Source organism: Homo sapiens, chromosome 3 (genome assembly GCF_000001405.40).
Source record: "Homo sapiens chromosome 3, GRCh38.p14 Primary Assembly".
NCBI classification, from domain to species: domain Eukaryota; kingdom Metazoa; phylum Chordata; class Mammalia; order Primates; family Hominidae; genus Homo; species Homo sapiens.
In genome coordinates this window covers 131431343-131450005 of record NC_000003.12, presented here as the reverse complement: position 1 = coordinate 131450005, position 18663 = coordinate 131431343, and the positions used below count along the sequence as shown (strand labels likewise).

The following is an 18663-nucleotide window of genomic DNA, read 5'->3' as shown; positions in this document are numbered from 1 at the left end:
GTTGCTGAAGGGATTCTAAGTCAGGATTGTCAGAAGAGTTGCTTAGGAAAGATATCCGGGAGACTTGAGCTAGGATTGGAAAGGAAATTTAGAAGTTGGAGGGAAAGGGAAATATACAGCATACTTCTTCCAAATTTATCTTCTTTGACCATTTATGTAAGCTTTTAGGTTTGTGAGGCCTTTGAGACTAGTTTGATCTTCTTTTTAATGCACAAATATAGAACTAAAAAATTAACACCTATAGATAAAGAAATAAATGAACATCTCTCTCTGAGAAGAGGCTTTTAAAAAGGACTGTAGTGATAGATTCTCAAAACATGAGGCTTCGAGATAAGGCTGGCACCTACCAAGTCAACAAACTCAAATCAGCATTTATGGAGGACCTCTCCCATGTCCTGGACATTGTACTAACTCTGGGGAGACCATGATGTGGAGCTCATAGCCCCTGCCTTCCAGGAGCTTATATACTTATAGGATTATGTAACAGAGTAATATTAAGAATGGCAAGTTGGGACTTCTGAACAAAGTGAAATGAGATCATGTTTTTTTTGCACCTCCTTTGCTTCAAAACATAGCAGTGATAGATTAAGTATAAAAATAGACATAGCCATGTTTCACAACAAGATAAACCATAAAAGGAAAAAAAAAAACATAAAGCAGAGAATAAACTGAAGCACAAGACTCCTAGGACATAGGTAAGAAGAAAAATGGTAGCAGTGGGATTTAAGGGGACCAAAATGCTTCACCCAAGAGGAGAGACCAAAGCCAAACTTGTTGCATGAAGCCAGAGGTTCAGAAGGAATTTCACCACTCCAACATCTACATCAAATGAAGACAAGAAAGAAAAACTGTACTGCTGCCTATGGCATTTGCTTGCCTGAGGATGTGGGAGATCACCTTCGAAATTTTATGACACCTAAGGGATAAGTTTTCATTGGCTCAGTAACAGGAATTGCAAAGTCTTCAGTATCACTAAAGGTCAGGATCCCTTGAGGCCATTTTGTACTGCAGGCTCAGAAGCCAGATAGAAGCAACTATGCAAACATCAAATAAGGACAGACGAGCATTGAAATATAAAGACAAATAGAAAATACTGCCTTTTTTTTTTTTTTTTTTTTTTGAGATGGAGTCTCGCTCTATCACCCAAGCTGGAGTGCAGTGGCACGATCTTGGCTCACTACAACTTCCACCTCCTGGGTTCAAGCGAATCTCCTGCCTCAGCCTCCTGAGAGCTGGGACTACAGGTGCGTGCCACCATGCCTGGCTCATTTGTGGTATTTTTAGTAGAGACAGGGTTTCACCATTTTAGCCACGATGATCTCGATATCCTGACCTCGTGATCCACCCGCCTCTGCCTCCCAAAGTGCTGGGATTCCAGGCATGAGCCACCACACCCGGCCCAGAAAATACATTGTTAAGAGGAAATAAAATATCTCCCATTCAAAATCCAAATTCTAAAACATAAAAAATCAATGCAAAGAAAGAGCCAATATGGGTCAGGAGCGGTGGCTCATGCCTATAATCCCAGAACTTTGGGAGGCCGAGGCGGGCGGATCACTTGAGGTCAGGAGCTCAAGACCAGCCTGGCCAAAACAGTGAAACCCTGTCTCTACTAAAAATAAAAACATTAGCTGGGCATGGTGGAGGGCACTTGTAATCCCAGCTACTCAGGAGGCTGAAGCAGGAGAATAGCTTGAACCCAGGAGGCAGAGGTTGCAGTGAGTCAAGATCGTGCCATTGCACTCCAGCCTGGGTGACAGAGTGAAACTGTCTCAAAAAAAAAAAAAAAAAAAAAAGCCAATGTGATCAACAGAACAAATGTCTTCCATATAAAATTAATTTATGCAAGAGTTCAACAAAAGTCTTAATATGTTTAGAATGCTGCTATGGTCTGAATATGTCTTCCTAAAATCAATATGTTGAAACTTAACTGCCAAAGTGATAATATTAAGAGGTGGGACCTTTAGGAGGTGACTAAGTGATGAGGACAAAGCCCTCATGAACAAGATCAGCACCCTGATCGGTTTGAGGTTCAAGGGAGCTATTTGCCCCCTTTTTCCATGTGAAGACACATAAGGAAGTGATATCTTGGAAGCAGAGAGCAGCCCTCACCAGACACCAAATCTGCCAACCCCTTGATTTTTAACTGTTCAGCCTCCAGAACTGTGAATAAAAATAGATTTCTGTTTTTTATAAATTACCCAATCTTAGATATTTTTATAGCAGTAGGAGTGAACTAAAACAGATGCTCAAGGAGGTAAATAAAACTAAATTTTATTCAACATAGCAAGAAATTACAAAATAAAAATAGGCAGATAGGAAACGAATGGATTTCCATGAAGAATTTAAAATGCTAGAAATGAAAAAAAATATTTAATACAAACTTTAGATGACTAAAAGGAGAATTAAGAAAGAAGATAGTACTGAGAAAGTCATACAAACTATAATAAATGTAAATGGATTAAATTTACTTATAAAAGATCGAGATTGTGAGATTAAAGAAATACCAGCTAGATGTCATTAATGAGAGATCTCCTAAAACCACAAAGAAGGGTTTAAAATACTTTGAAAGGAAAACTATGTGTATCAAGAAAATATTAACAAAAAGAAAGCTGGTTGTAGCAAGATTGACATCAGACAGTGTAAGCAAAAACTGTTAGCAGAGATAAAGAGGAACACTAAATAATAATACAAAAAAAAAGGGCTGGGTGCAATGGCTCATGCCTGTAATTCCAGTACTTTTGGAGGCCAAGGTGGGAGGATAACTTGAGTCCAGGAGCTTGAGACCAGCATGCGCAACATAGCAAGACCCCCATCTCTACCAAAAAAAAAAAAAAAAATTAGCTGGGCATGGTGGCATGTACCTGTAGTCCTAGCTACTTGGGAGGCTGAGGTGGGAGGATCACTTGAGCCCAAGAGTTCAAGGTTACAGTGAGCTATGATCATGTCACCATACTCCAGCCTGAGCAACAGAGTGAGACCCTGTCCCTTAAAAAAAAAAAAAGTAAAATCTTTTATCAACAACTGTTATAGTTATTACATGTTGGACACAAACAATTTCATGTACACCAACAGCAGACTAGGCTACTCTGACCATAATGGAGCAAGACAAAAATAAGGTCTCTCTAAAGTTGTGTCCAAACACAGAAAAAACAAGAACAATCCAACCCATTAAAAATGACCAAATATCCCCCTCTTTTAGCTAATATGAGTGATTACTTGTTCACAAATTACAGCCTTTAACTTGCTTTATTCCTCTCATCTCCTATATAAAAATTATTAAGGCGTAATAGAATTGCTCCCACTTCTAGACAGCACTCAATTCAGAGCAAAACAATACTTTGAATTCTCTCCCACATCACCTAACACAAGTTCATATTCCTGTAAACAGCCTTACCCTAACATATTGTTTCGGAAATGCCTCATGGCCTCTTTTGATGTGGCATTTTCCTTACTGCAGCAAGCCACTGAAGGGACTGTTTAATTACAGTGTATTCCTTATGATCTTTGGCTAGAGGATATTGGTAGCTCCATTTAACACATAAGAAAACAGGCACAGAAAGGTTAAGTAACTCAGTTACACAGGATATTGGGCTGCAATCAGTGGTCCTCAATCCTGGCTGAACATCAAGTTCTTTGGAGATAGAGCCTAAGTATTCATATATTTTAAAAGCTCCTTACAGTGATATGCAGCCAAGATTGAGAAACATAGATGATGTCTATAGCAGTACTTCTCAAACTTTCACATCCCTATTTATCACTTGAGAATTTGTTAAATAAAATGCAGATTCTGATTCAGTAATTTTGGGTGGAGCCTGAGATTCCACTTTTCTAACAGTTTAGCAGGTGATGCTGATGCTGCTGGCCAACAGAGCATATTTTGAATAACAGGGTCTAAAGTACCTTACAGCTCCAAATCACTGACTTTCTAGAAAAGTGCTTTGTTTGCCGGGGGCAGTGGCTCCTGCCTGTAATCCTAGCACTTTGGGAGGCTGAGGAGGGCGGATCACCTGAGGTTGGGATTTCAAGACAAGGCTGACCAACATGGAGAAAACCTGTCTCTACTAACAATACAAAAATTAGCCAGGCATGGTGGCAGGTGCCTGTAATCCCAGCTACTCAGGAAGGCTGAGGCAGGAGAATCGCTTGAACCCAGGAGGCGGAGGTTGCAGTGAGCCGAGATCACACTATTGCACTGCAGCCTGGGCAACAAGAGCAAAACTCCGTCTCAAAAAAGAAGAAAAAAAGAAAAAAGTGCTTTGTTTATCAAAAAATTTTATGTATTCATTTATTGAACACGTATAATTTATCCAGCAACATCCTAGGCAGTGGAAATACAACAGTAACCAGACAGAAAATGTCTCTGCCCACCCAAGTATCAGGCTGTCCAACTAAAGCAAGGAGTCTGGAGACCTAGGATCAGCTTTTTATGCTTCCACTGTAGCTTGGTGACTTTGACGATGGTTGGGATCCTGATATCTTCCTTCTAGCATTAACATTTTATTTTATTTTTCCCCTGAATAGTACGATTTGGGGAATCATACGTTGTTTCTAGATGCATTTGTTTGCTAAAATAGCAGGAATGCTGTTGGGGGAGGAAGGAAAACCAATATACAGGTCATGAAAATACAAAGTATGTTGTTATTTTAAAACCACAGCAACTATAATGGAATTTAAAAGTAATTTATTTAGCGTCCACGAGCTAATCCCCCAAAGATTATCACAGTTTTAAAGTAGGTCAGACTCTGAGACTATGTGTCTCTAGACTGTACCTATAATAAGTAAAATTCAAATGTTTTCATGAGACTAGTAAAGCCAGTTTATTTAAAACTGGAATTTTCTTTCTCTTAATGTGTGGTTAGTTCTAAGGGGTGACAAAAGCGAAAAGCAGTCCTTGACACCTGGAAGCTGGCCTGGTACTATCAGCTGGGCCTTGGTGTTCTCCTGTCGAACACAACTCTTTCACAGAAAAACAACATCAGAGAAGGCCACTCAGTGACCCTGATGGATCAAAACAAAACAAGACCACACTGTAATCATGTCTGAACACGAAGCATGAACATTGTCCAAATCACAAAAATGACCAAACATCCCACATTCTAGCTAATGTGAGTGACTTCTGCTTCTTTGACACTTCCAACTTTAGCCTTGGTCTATTCTGTCCTCCTTCTAGACAAGATTTACAAAGTAACTTAATCATAGAATTCTCCTGGCATATAGTGGCCACTCACGATAGAATTGTTGAATAAAACTCCAAATTCTTGATTTCATACACTCCTTTCTTTGACCACTATTTTCTGTTCTAGCTCATCTGCCTTATCTCATATGCACTGATCTTATTGAAAGCAAAGCCTGGCTTTTCATCTTCTCCAGGCCTGGCCTCAGCAGCTGAACATTGCTGGAGAAAAATCACACCACTTGAGGTTCATGAACTTGGGCAGTATCAGACTGCTCACACATATTGTGGGGCTTGTAGGACAGATGATGCAGGATATTTTCCTGGTGGTAATGCTGAGCAGTGTTAAAATCTGGGGAAGGGAAGAGAAGTTTGAGATGGAACTAAAGGTGTGATGGAGAAAGCAGAACTTCCAGTATTCGGTTAGGCAAACATGACCGCCTGGGGCTGGCGGCAGAGGAAGGCCAGGTAAGTTGACACTACTGCTGTTTGTTTAGAAGTGGCTGGAAACACCAGGGGCTGAAACCTTTGCAGAAAACCCTTTTATTTTCTGAAATGATCACTCAGTTCACGCAATTCCAGTGTTCCCATTGCAATGTTTAGCTCTCACTTATAAGTGTACCCAATATTTAGCTCTCACTTATAAATGAGAACATCCAGTATTTGCTTTTCAGTTCCTGCATTAATTTGCTTAGGCCTAGTTGAGAAGAGAGCTCAGTGGAGCTCAGCTAAAGTTTGGTCAAGGAGGGAGTCTTTATCAGAGCTAAGAGGGCAACCCACTTGGGTCCCCTTCCACACTGTGCAAGCTTTGTTCTTTTGCCCTTCACAATAAATCTTGCTGCTGCTAAAAAAAAAAAAAAAAAAAAAAAAAAGAAAGAGTTTAAGTAGATCTGCTGATATCATGGAGGATAGTATAGAAAGTTCATACTGCTGATCTCCAGGTTTCTTTTATGTGAAAGAAAAGTCCAATCCCTAATTTGTTTTGAGAGAAATTGTTGTCTCCAATATGAGCTGAATACAGTTGCTAACTGATACATTCCTAATAACTGACCTCCCGTGAATACTTACCATGGGTTCAATTTTGCTGCACCAAAAACTACTTCGCTTCCTAAAACCATTTTGATGAGCTACCTGTGTTCTGGAGTGCCCTGTGGGGTTGGTCAAAGGTTTGTCAGTCCTGTATCAGGGTTCACCTCCTTCCGCCGCCTCATTCTTCTTGCTCCCTGCCTCTTCTACAGGTATTGATCTCTAAAAAACATCCTGTGCCCCAAACTCCATCTCAGCCTCTGCTTCAGGAGATCTAATCAGATATACACTCTGTGATTTGTACTTTCTAGGGTATATCTGGTTCTAATGCTCAGTGTGGAAATAAAAAGGAAGAAAAAATAGTGTAGAGAGCAAGGACATGGGCAAGCCTGGTTTAAATTCTGTGCTTCCTAGCCATGTAACCTTGAAGTAATGATTTGAGTTTTCACATCTTTGAGAGACAAATAATATTCTCTCCTTTAGATAATTATTATGTGAATTAAAATGAGTTAAGGCTAGGCATGGTGGCTCACACCTGTAATCCCAGCACTTTGGGAGGCCAAGGTGGGTGAATCACTTGAGGTCAGGAGTTTGAGACCAGCTTGGCCAACATGGCAAAACTCCATCTCTACTAAAAATACAAAAATTAGCCGGATGTGGTGGCACATGCCTGTAGTCCCAGCTACTTGGGAGGCTGAGGCAGGAGAATTGCTTGAACCTGGGAGGCAAAGGTTGCAGTGAACTGAGATCACTCCATTGCACTCCAGCCTGGGTGACAAAGTGAGACTATGTCTCAAAAAAAAAAAAAAAAAGAAAAAAAAAAAGTTAATGTTCCAGGCACAGTGGTTCATCCCTGTAATCCCAGTGCTTTGGGAGGCTGAAGTGGGAGAATTACTTGAGGCCAGGAATTCAAGGCCAGGCTGGGCAACATAGCAAGACCCTATCTCTAAAAATTAGCCAGACATGGTAGTGCACACTTGTAGTCCTACCTATTTGGGAGGCTGAGGCAGGAGGATCACTTGAGCTCAGGAATTAGAGGCTGCAGTGAGCTATGATCATGCCACTGCACTCCAGCCTGGGTGTCTGTTACAAAAAAAGTTTAAAAAGTTAAAATAAAATGAACTAATACACGTAAAGTGCCTGGCATATATAATAGTGTATGCTAATAACATTATTACAACTATTCTTTTGGCAAAACCTTATTGTCTTCTCTGCTTCATACAGTGACCTACATAAAAGAGCTATATATCAAATGCTTATTAAGCAGCAAACACTGAGATTTATATGTATTTTCTCATTTAATGCTCATGGGAACCCTATAAGGTGATAGTTGTTGTTACCTCCATTTTACAGGTGAGGAAGTTGAAGCTCAGAGAAGTTGAATAACTTGCCCAAGATCACATAGCAAGTGAGTATTAGAGCCAAGATTCATATCTGGGTCTCTCTGTGTCCAGAAGCTAAAGGCATAACTATTTTGCCGCACAGCCTTCTGTCCTGTGGCTCGTTCCCCACCATGAAACCCTTATATGGGTAGTGGGAGCTAAAATAAAGATGGTTAGTTTAATATTAGGCATTGGAAAATCTCAGGGAGAATAGATATAAAAATATTTACTTATATGCATTTATATTTGTATTTAAAAAATTTTTTGTGTGTGTAGAAAGATAACCTCAACACATGCCCTGGATCAAACTAGGAACATGACTGAAGAATAAAATTGCTCCTCCTGCAAAGATGGAAGAATGTTGAGCTCTGTGAGAGCTCCCCACAGCATGAGGAAATAAAGGGGTTGAAACCAGAGAGAAGCTGAGTGGAGACCAAGCAAGAAGGCAGGAAAGTAGGAGCCAGGAAGAGACAGTGAGTAGCAAGGGACAGGTGGGAGGATTGGCGGAGGAACTTCTGAAAACAGGGATCCCTGATATCTGATATTAACTGACCTGCTGTGTTTACCCACAGGGCCTCCCAACCCCAGCACTGTGATTGCCCCCACAGACCCAGTAGCAAAGGCTCCATAGGAGTGTGAGGTATATTTGGAGAAGGCAAGGAAAGAAAGTTGGATCCAATGTTTGGGTGGATGCAAGGCAGAAAGAAGGAGGTGGCTGCAAGGGACAGCAATCAACAGAAGCAGGAAGTCAGAGCAAGCAATAACTACAAAAAACATGTGCCTTCAAGAATCCCCCCAAATATAGGGGGGGCCAGGATTCTGGAGGACTTGAGACAGTCCAGTGGTGCTAGGTCGGACAGATTAAAAGCCAGCTGGGTGGCTTCCGCTTGGTGTCGACTGCACCTGCACTGGCAGATTCAGGGCCTTGGATGTTCCCACCAAGCCCTTTAAAGGATACTACTGGGGGCAGGGGGAGAGAGAGATGCTGTCCCACCCCGGGTTACCTAGAAGCGTGTAGGGGACAGGGAGGAGGGTTTTCTAAGACTGGGGCTGGCACTTCCTTGGTCTCCCCTTAGGCTCCAGCTCTCACAGTTCTCCAGTGCCTTTGAGATCCTGAAGAAGGGAGAACCTCAGAAAGGGTTGCTGAGGGCTGCAGGGAGTCATGCACATGAGATGGGTCCTGCAAAGACCTAACATTTTCTCTCCTCTAACCACAGTAAAAATAAATGCCTCTAATATCAATACTTACAAGGTTAAGTTCTGCAAGTTAATGGAAATCACTGAAGAGAAGCCACCTGAAGGGAGAAAAACAAGGGGGACATTAACAGCTATCAACTAGTGAGACCCAAGTAAATTAGACTCATAAGATATTGGCTCCCTATAAAAGCAAAAGATGACATCTTGACATATATTCTTGAGTTATTTTTTTCCCCAACAAATGGAAAATGTTGACCACCATCAAGTAGACCTCAGTTAAGAAGGAATTGAGAACTACATTCTGACCATTGTTCTTTGTTCTAAATTTCTTCCTGAGGGTCCTGGAAAAGGTCATGCCCACAGACCACACCTTAACAATTCTTTCTGCTGACCCCAAGTTTTTAGCAAAAGCCTTGCTTCCTTGACCAATTGCAAAATCAAAGAATCTCTGAATTCACCTATGACTTGTAAGCTCCCACTTCAAGATATCCTACCTTTTTGGGCCAAACCAATATGTAACTTCCATGTATTCACCTATGATTTTACTTGTAACTTCTGCTTTCTTAAAATATACCCCTGCCTTTCAAAACCCTTGCTTGTAAGCCATCAGAGAGTTCAGGTCTTAAGCATTAGCTGCCTGATTCTCCTTGCTTGGCACCCTACAATAAATGCAATAATTTCTCTTGCTGCAGATCTTAATATTAGTGTTTGGCTTTTTCTGCACACAGGGCAAGTAGAGCCAAGTTTAGTTTGGTAACACAGCCAAGTCAATCTCCATTTCCCAACCCATGGAACTGTGAGAGATTAATAAATTACTACCTTTGCTTTAAGGTACTAAATTTTGGGGAGATTTGTTATACAGCAATAGAAAACCAATATATTTCATTATATATCTAAATTTCAAGTAAATTTTCATTTGAAAAACTCTTGCTTAAAACAATAACAACAACAAAAAATTATAATAGTCTAATCCAACTTTCTTAATTCATTGACGGAGAAACAAGCCATGAAAGGTCCAGACAGTGACATAACCAAGTCATGGCAGAGCCAAGACTAGCACATAACCTTGATTTCTACTTAATTCCAAAATCTATGGCCTATGCATCTATTACTCTCTATCATTCACTGTTGTCATTTCAATAGAGGTGTTCCTAGTCATTTTCCAGATGGGAAGTGTCATAGCGAGGCTATCTTTCCAGGCTATCTTTCTACTTTCCTGAAGGATTCTATTCAACGAGATTAGATATTCAGGGAAGAAAGTACTAAGAGTGCTGTTTAAAGAAAAGACTGATTTATCCAACCTAGTTATTAAGACAAGTACCAAGATATTCTTAAGTTTAGATAAATATGTTCTTCAGTGTTGATTTGACAGGAAGAGTTGAAGTAAATGGTAAAAGAACTTACTGTTAATCACTACCCTGAATATAATGAATGATGAGTTGGAACTTTATGGGCCTTTTAAAAAATACATGTATTTTATAAACAAGTTTAGAACTCCTCAATCCATTAACTAAAAAGCTTTGCTGCCCAAACATGACAATTTCCTAAACACCAAATCAGTGATTTGCTGCATAAATAAAGCAATCAGAGTGATGAAAATAGAAGGCTTCAGCAAAATCCACTTCTGAAAGCTGCTGCCAAAGGGAGAAGGGAAAAGCATTTTCAAGCTAAAATGTTGACTGAAAATGACCTAGAATAAGCTGAAAATTATCACTTCTCCCTGAAACCTACCGGTTAATTATGCTGTTTCACAGCAAGGTAGGTATAGATGCAGCTGGGATAAAAGAGAAATAAACGCACATTCAGAGAGAATTCAAACCACAATTTCATTGGTGGTATATTACATGCCTTTTTTTTCTAACATAGGCCAGGTTGCAAATGTTATGCTGATTTCAGTAGTAGTTGTGAAATTGCTAGAAAATGGCTACAAGTCTTTGCTCTGTCTTTTCAAATGACCTGTTACCAGATCTCTCATTTCAACACTCCCTTTTCATTGCTTATTTATGTTCCCATCTGGGAGCATATGGCAGTGATGTGGGAGAAGCCCCAGAACTTGCTGAAGTTCTGGTTGCTTCCTCAGACTGTATAGCAAAAACTAGAATGTCTCTTATGTGCAACTGCTGGGGTCACTGCAACTCTAGAGGAACATTCTTTCCCCTCAACGGATTCAAGATATGCTTTATATTATTTAATTTTTATATAAATGTCATCTACTTATTGAAGACAGACATTAATAGGACTGTTAAAACAATTAGAGCAATCATATTAGCTCATGCTGGATGCATGAGCAGGATCATTTACTGAGAAATCAATTTGTAGATTTCCACAACCTTCTCTCCTCAAGTCCTAAACTGGTATTCAGGTCCATAATATTTCCTTGCCTTGGGGATTCTTGTAGAGGAAATAATAGAAAATGCTTACAGCTGAAAACATGTCTTGCTTTTTGTGAAACCCTTGACCTCAACAAAGAGCTCGGTCTAAGATGGGCAGAGGGGAGCACAGAATCCCTAGAAAAGTAGTAGAGAGAGAGACTTCCCCTGAGACAGAGAAGAAGAAAGATCTGTGAATGCAGGCCCACAGCCTGGTTTGTGGCAACACTTTTGGAAAGGACCCTCCAGAGGGGGAGGTATGTGGTGCACTCAGCAGGAGTAGACCCAGGTTTAGGGGCCCAAAACTTCTGGAGGACTCCCTTTAAGGAATTTACACAGAATAAGGCACCAGTGTTAATATTTATTTAGAGTAAAAAAAAAAGATTGCAACAAATGAAAAATTAAAATGTTCTAACAGAAACCACATGCATTATAAAATCCAGAAAAAAAGTGATAGATTGATTAATTAACTGCCCACCACACTTCTATAATTTTTTTCTCTATATTTTTAATTGTAAATTCTTTTATCTCTTTTTTCATATAAAAGTTCTGTAACATTATTTTCTATAGAGAAAATGGAAAGATTGTATATTATCTAACATGGCTGATTGAAACTGTTAATGTTTTATTTTTTATTTGTTTTTAATTTTTATGGACATATAGGTATATACATTTATGGGGTACATGACATATTTTGATAGAGGCATACAATAATCACAGGATAATAATCACATCAGGATAAATGGGGTATCCATCACTTCAAGCATTCATCTTTTCTTTGTGTTAAAAATAATTGAATTATACTCTTAGTTATTTATAAATGTACAATAAATTACTGTTGTCTGTAGCCACCCTGTTGTGCTATCAAATACCAGATCTTATTCTTTTTTTTTTTTTTGAGACAATCTTGCTCTGTTGCCCAGGCTGGAGTGCAGTGGCAGGATGTCGGCTCACTGCAACCTCTGCTTCCCAGGTTCAAGAGATCCTCCTGCCTCAGTCTCCCGAGTAGTTGGGATTACAGGCATGTGCCATGATGCCCGGCTAATTTTCCTATTTTTAGTAGAGACAGAGTTTCACCATGTTGGCCAGGCTGGTTTTGAACTTCTGACCCCAAGTGATCTGCCTGCCTCTGCCTCCCATGTAGATCTTATTCATTCTATCTAACTATATTTTTGTACCCACTAACCACCCCCACTTTTTCCCACCCCCACTACCCTTTCCAGCCTCTGGTAACCATCATTCTATTAATACTTTCTATCTCCATGAATTCACTTGTTTTAATTTTTAGCTTCCATACATGAGTGAGAATATATGAAATTTGACTCTCTGTACCTGGCTTATTTCACTAAACATAATGTCCTCCAATTCCATCCATGTTGCAAATGAAAGTATCTGATTCTTTTTTATGGCTGAATAATACTCCACTGTGTATATGTACTACTTTTTCATTATCCATTTGTCCATTGATGGACACTTAGGTTGCTTCTAAATCTTGGCTATTGTGATTAGTGCTGCAATAAACATAGGAGTGCAGATATTTCTTTGATATGCTGATTTCCTTTCTTTGGGATGTATACCTAGCAGTAAAATTGCTGGATCATATGATACTTCTGTTTTAGGTTTTTGAGGAACCTCCAAACTGTTTTCCATACTGGCTGTACTAACTTACATTCTCACCAACAATGTGTGAGGGTTTCCTTTTCTCTACATCCTTGCCAGCATTTGTTATTGCCTATCTTTTGCATAAAAGCCATTTTTACTGCAGTGAGATAATATCTCATTGTAGTTTTGATTTGCATTTCTCTGATGATCAATGATGTTAAGCACCTTTTCATATACCCGTTTGCCATTTGTATGTCTTCTTTTGAGAAATGTCTATTCAGATTTTTTGCCCATTTTTAAATTGTCTCATATTTTTTCCTATAGAGTTGTTTGAACTCCTTATTCTGGTTATTAATCCTTTGTCAGATGGATAGTTTGCAAATATTTTCTCCCATTCTGTGGGTTGTCTCTTCACTTTGTTGATTGTATCCTTTACTGCACAGAGGCTTTTCCATTTGATGTGATCCCATTTGTCCATTTTTGCTTTGGTTGCCTGTGCTTGTGGAATATTACTCAAGAAATCTTTGCCTAATTGCTCTAAGACTTCCAGTATTATGTTGAATAAGAATGCTGACAGTGGGCATCCTTGCTGTGTTCCAGATCTTAGAGGAAAAGATTTCCATTTTTCTCCATTCAATATGATACTAGCTGTGGGTCTGCCTACATTGCTTTTATTGTGTTGAGGTATGTTCATTCTAGACCCAGTTTTTTGATGGTTTTTATCATGAAGAAATGTTGAATTTTATTAAATGCCTTTTCAGCATCAATTGAAATGATCATATGATTTTTATTCTTTATTCTGTTGATATGATGTATCACATTGATCGATTTGTGTATGTTGAACTGTCTTTGCATCCAAGGGATGAATCTCACTTGGTCATGGTGAATGATCTTTTTAATATGTTGTTAATTTTGGTTTGCTAGTATTTTGTTGAAGATTTTTGCATCAATATTCATGAGGGATATTGGCCTGTAGTTTTTTAAAATGTATCTTAGTCTGGTTTTGGTATCAGGGTAATACTGGCTTTATAGAATGAATTTGGAAGTATTCCTTCCTCCACTTATTTTTTGAGTTTGAGAATTGGTTTCATTCTTCTTTAAATATTTAGTAGAATTCAGCAATGAAGCCATCAGGTTTAAGCTTTTCTTTGCCAGGAGACTTTTTATTATGGCTGTGATCTCATTACTTGTTATTGGTCTTTTCAGGTTTTGGATTTTTTCACAGTTCAGTATTTGTAGGTTGTATGTGTCTAAGAATTTATCCATTTCTTCTAGATTTTCAATTTGCTGGCAGATAGTTGCTCATAGTAGTCTCTAATGATCCTGTGAATTTTTGCAGTGTCAGTTGTAATGTCTCCTTTTTCATCTCTGATTTTGAATTTTCTTTTTTTCTTAGCCTAAAGATTTGTCAATTTTATCTTTTCAAAAAAATCAATGTTTCATTTTGTTGTTCTGTTCTGTTTTTTGTTTCAGTTTCATTTATTTCTGCTTGATATTTATTATTTATTTTCATCTACTAATTTTGAGTTTGCTTTGCTCTTGCTTTTCTAGTTCTTTAAGATGCAATATTGGGTTATTTGAAATTTTTCTACATTTTTGATTTAGGTAATTTTGGCTATAAACTTTCCTCTTAGTGCTGCTTTCACTGAATCCCATGTTTTGATGTGTTGTGTTTTCATTTTTGTTTAAGACATTTTAAAATTTCCTTCTTCATTTCTTCATTGATCCACTGGTCATTCAGGAGCATATCGTTTAATTTCCGTGTGTTTATTTAGTTTCCAAATTTCCTCTTGTTATTAGTTTCTAGTTTTATTTATTTGTGGTTAGAGAAGACACTTGATATGATTTCCATTGAAAAAATTAAGTCTTGTTTTGTGGCCTAACATATGGCCTATCCTTGAGAATGATCCATGTGCTGAGGAAAATAATGTATATTCTGCAGCCATTGGCTGAAATGTTTTACAAGTATCTAATCTATTAGATCTATTTGATCTATAATGCAGATTAAGCCCAATGTTTCTTTGTTGGTATTCTGTCTGGAAGATCTGTCCAGTGCTGAAAGTGGGGGTGCTAAAGTCTCCAGCTATTATTATATTGGGGTCTATCGCTCTCATTAGCTCTAATAGTATTTGCTGTATATTATATCTGGGTGCCTTAGTGTTGGGTTCATATATGTTTACAATATCCTCTTACTGAATTGACTCCTTTATTGTCATATAATGACCTTCTTTGTCCTTTTTATAGTTTTTGTTTTGAAATTTATTTTGTCTGGTGTAAGTATAGCTACTCCTACTCCTTTTTGACTTCCATTTGACTTCCATGGAATATCTTTTTCTATCCCTTTAGTTTTAGTCTGTGTGTGTCTTTATAGGTGTAGTATGTTTCTTGTAGGCAACAGATTGTTGGGTCTTATTTTTTAATCAGTTTAGCCACTCTGTTTTTGTTGTTGCTGTGATTTGTTTGTTTGTTTTTAGAGACTGGGACTCACTCTGTTGCCCAGGCAGGCATGCAGTGGTGCACAGTTATAACTCACTGTAACCTCAAACAGCTGGGTTCAAGCAATCCTCCCACCTCAGTTTCCCGAGTAGCTGGGACTACAAGTGTGCACCACCACACCTGGCTAATTTTATTTTTTGTAGAGATGAGGTCTCACTATGTTGCCCAGGCTGGTCTTAAACACCTGGGCTCAAAGCAATTCTCCCACCTCAGCCTCCCAAAGTACTGAGATTGTAGGCATGAGCCACTGTGCCTAGGCCACACCCTATGTCTTTCGATTGGAGAGTTTAGCCTGTTTACATTCGATGTTGTTAGTAATAGATAAGGGCTTAATACAGCAATTTGGTTATTTGTTTTCTGGTTGTTTTGTGGCCTTCCCTCCCTCCTTCCCTCCCTTTCTTCCTTCCTTCCTTCTTTCTTTCCTTCCTTCCTTCCTTCCCTCCTTCCTTCCTCCTTTCTTCCCTTCTTCCTTCCATCCATCCTTCCTTCCTTTTTTGTGAAGGTGATTTTCTCTGGCAGTAGGTTTTAATTTCTTGCTTTTTATTTTTAGTTTCTTTGGATCTGTTATAGGTTTCTTGATTTAACGTTACCACAAGGCTTAAAAATAACATCTTATAACCCATTATTTTAAACTGATGACAACTTACCATTGACTGCAGAAAAAAACTAACTAATGAAGAAGCAGAGAGAAAATTAATAAAAACTCTACACTTTAACTTCATTCCCCCTGCTTTTTAACTTTTTGTTACTATTTATACCTTATTGTACTGTCTATGTCCTGAAAAGTTGCTGTAGTTATTATTTTTGAGAGGTTCAAATTTTAGTCTTTCTACAACATATGAGTAGCTTACACACTACAATTACAGTGTTATAATATTCTGTGTTTTTCTGTGTACTTACTATTATGTGTGAGTTTTGTACATTCAGATGATTTCTTATTGCTCATTAACATTCTTTTCTTTTACATTGAAGAACTGCCTTTAGCAATTCTTGTGGGATAGGCCAGGTGTTGATGAAATCCATCAGCTTTTGTTTGTCTGGGTTAGTTTTTATTTCTTCTTTATGTTTAAATGATATTTTCACTCAGTATACTATTCTAGAATAAAAGTTTGTTTCCTTCAGCTCCTTAAATACCACTCTCTCCTGGACTGTAAGGTTTCCACTGAGAATTCTATTGTATTCTATTGTTTGTATTCTATTGTATGTATTCTATTGTATGTATTGGAGCTCCTTTGTATGTTATTTATTTCTTTTCTCTTGCTGCTTTTAGGGTTTTTTCCTTTATCTTTGATCTTTGGGACTTTGATTATTAAGTGCTTTGAGGTAGTCTTATTTCACTTAAATCTGCTTGGTGTTCTATAAACTTCTTGGATTTGAATATTAATATATTTCTCTAGGTTTGGAAAGTTTATTTGTTATTATCTGTTTGAATAAACTTTCTACCCCGATCTCTCTCTTTACCTCCTCTTTAAGACCAATAACTTTTAGATTTTGAGGATATTTTCTATATCCTCTAGTTTCAATAACTCTTAGATTTTTCCCTTTTGAGGCTATTTTCTATATCCTCTAGTCATGCTTCATTCTTTTTTATTCTTTTTTCTTTTGTCTTCTCTCACTCTATATTTTCAAATAGCCTGTCTTCAAGCTCACTAATCCTTTCTTTCACTTGATCAATTCTGCTGTTGAGAGACTCTGATGCATTCTTCAGTATGTCAATTGTATTTGTCAGCTCTGGAATTTCTGCTTGATTTTTAAAAAATTATTTCAATCTCTTTGTTAAGTTTATCTGACAGGATTCTGGAATGTTTCTCTGTGTTATCTTGAATTTCATTGAGCTTCCTCAAAACAGCTATTTTGAATTTTCTGTCTGAAAAGTCACATATCTTTGTCACTCTAGGATTGGTCACTGGTGCCTTATTTAGTATGTTTGGTGAGGTCATGTTTTTCTGGATGGTCAATGCTTGTGGATGTTCACTGATGTCTGGGCATTGAAGAGTTAGGTATTTATTGTAGTCTTTGCAGTCTGGGCTTGTTTGCCCCTGTCCTTCTTGAGAAGTCTTTGATGTCTGGGCATTGAAGAGTTAGGTATTTATTGTAGTCTTTGCAGTCTGGGCTTGTTTATACCCGTCCTTCTTGAGAAATCTTTCCGAGTATTCACAGGAACTTATGCATTGTGATCTAAGTCTTTTGTCACTGTAGCTGTATCTGCATTAGGGGACATCCCAAGCCCAGTAATGTGACTATTGCAGACTTTTATAGGTACTGCCTTTGTGGCCTGGGGTAAGATTCAAGAGAATTCCCTGGATTACCACGCAGAGACTCTTGTTCTCTTCTCTTACTTTCCCCCAAACAGAGTCTCTCTCTGTGTTGAGCTGCCTGGAACTAGAGGAGGGGTGACACAAGTGCCCCTGTGGCCCCCACCAATGGGACTGCAGTGGATCAGACCTGAAGCCAGTGCAGCACTGGGTCTCACCCAAAGCCCACAGTGACCTCTGCCTGGCTACTGCTGATGTTCACTCAAGGCCCCGAGCTCTTCAGTCAGCAGGTGGCAAATCCAGCGATGTTTGTGTCTTTCCCTTCAGGGTGGCAAGCTCCCCACCAGCCCAGGAATGGTCCAGAAATGCTGTTCAGGAGCCAGGGCCTGGAGTTAGGAACCTTAGAAATCTGCTCTATTCTACTGTGGCTGAGTTGGCACCAAAGCTGCAAGACAAAGTCCTTCTCACTCTTCTCTCTCATTTCCTCAACCTGAAGGAGTCTTTCTTCACAGCCACCACCACCTCAGGCCTATGGCGAGTACTGCTTGGCTACCACTGATGTTTACTCAAGGCACGAAGGCTCTTCAATAAGCTTGCGGTGAATGCTACACGTCCTGGGTCTCTCCTCTCAGGGAAACAGGCTCCCCTCTGGCCCAGGACAAGTTCAGAAATGTTGTCCAAGACCCAAGGCCTGGAATTGGGTACCTCAGGAGCCAGTTTGGTGCTTACCCCACTGTGGGCCGAGCTGATACCTACGCTGCAAGACAAATGTCACTTATTTTTCCCTCTCCTTTTCTCAAACAGAAGAAGTCTCTCCTTGCGGCCACCACAGGTCAGACTATGTTGGGTCTCCCCTGAAACCAGCACAGCACTGGGTCTCACCTAAGGCCCACAGAGAGTACTACGTGGCTACCACTGGTGTTTATTCAAGGCCCAGATTTCTTCAATCAGCAGGTGATGAATCCTGCCAAGACTGGGTTCTTCCCTTCAAGGCAGTGGGTTCCCTTCTGGCCCAGGGTATACCTAGAAATGTCATTCAGGAGCTAGGGCCTGGAATGGTTTTCTGTTATATCATGATTGCGCTGGTATACACATTGCAAGACAACATCCTCCTTACTCTCCCCTCTTTTCTCCTTAAGTGGAAGGAAGGAGTCTGTCCC

The 18663-nt window shown here is 39.2% G+C and overlaps 1 long non-coding RNA gene across 1 annotated transcript; it reads left to right on the top strand.

Annotated features, from left to right (window-relative positions):
* The first annotated feature begins 7338 nt into the window (after nt 1–7338).
* On the top strand, nt 7339–18451 carry LOC105374110 (uncharacterized). Its single transcript, XR_924488.2, has 3 exons — nt 7339–7610; nt 7861–8057; nt 17831–18451. It is a non-coding gene; the product is annotated as an uncharacterized LOC105374110 (long non-coding RNA).
* Nucleotides 18452–18663: the final 212 nt, after the last annotated feature.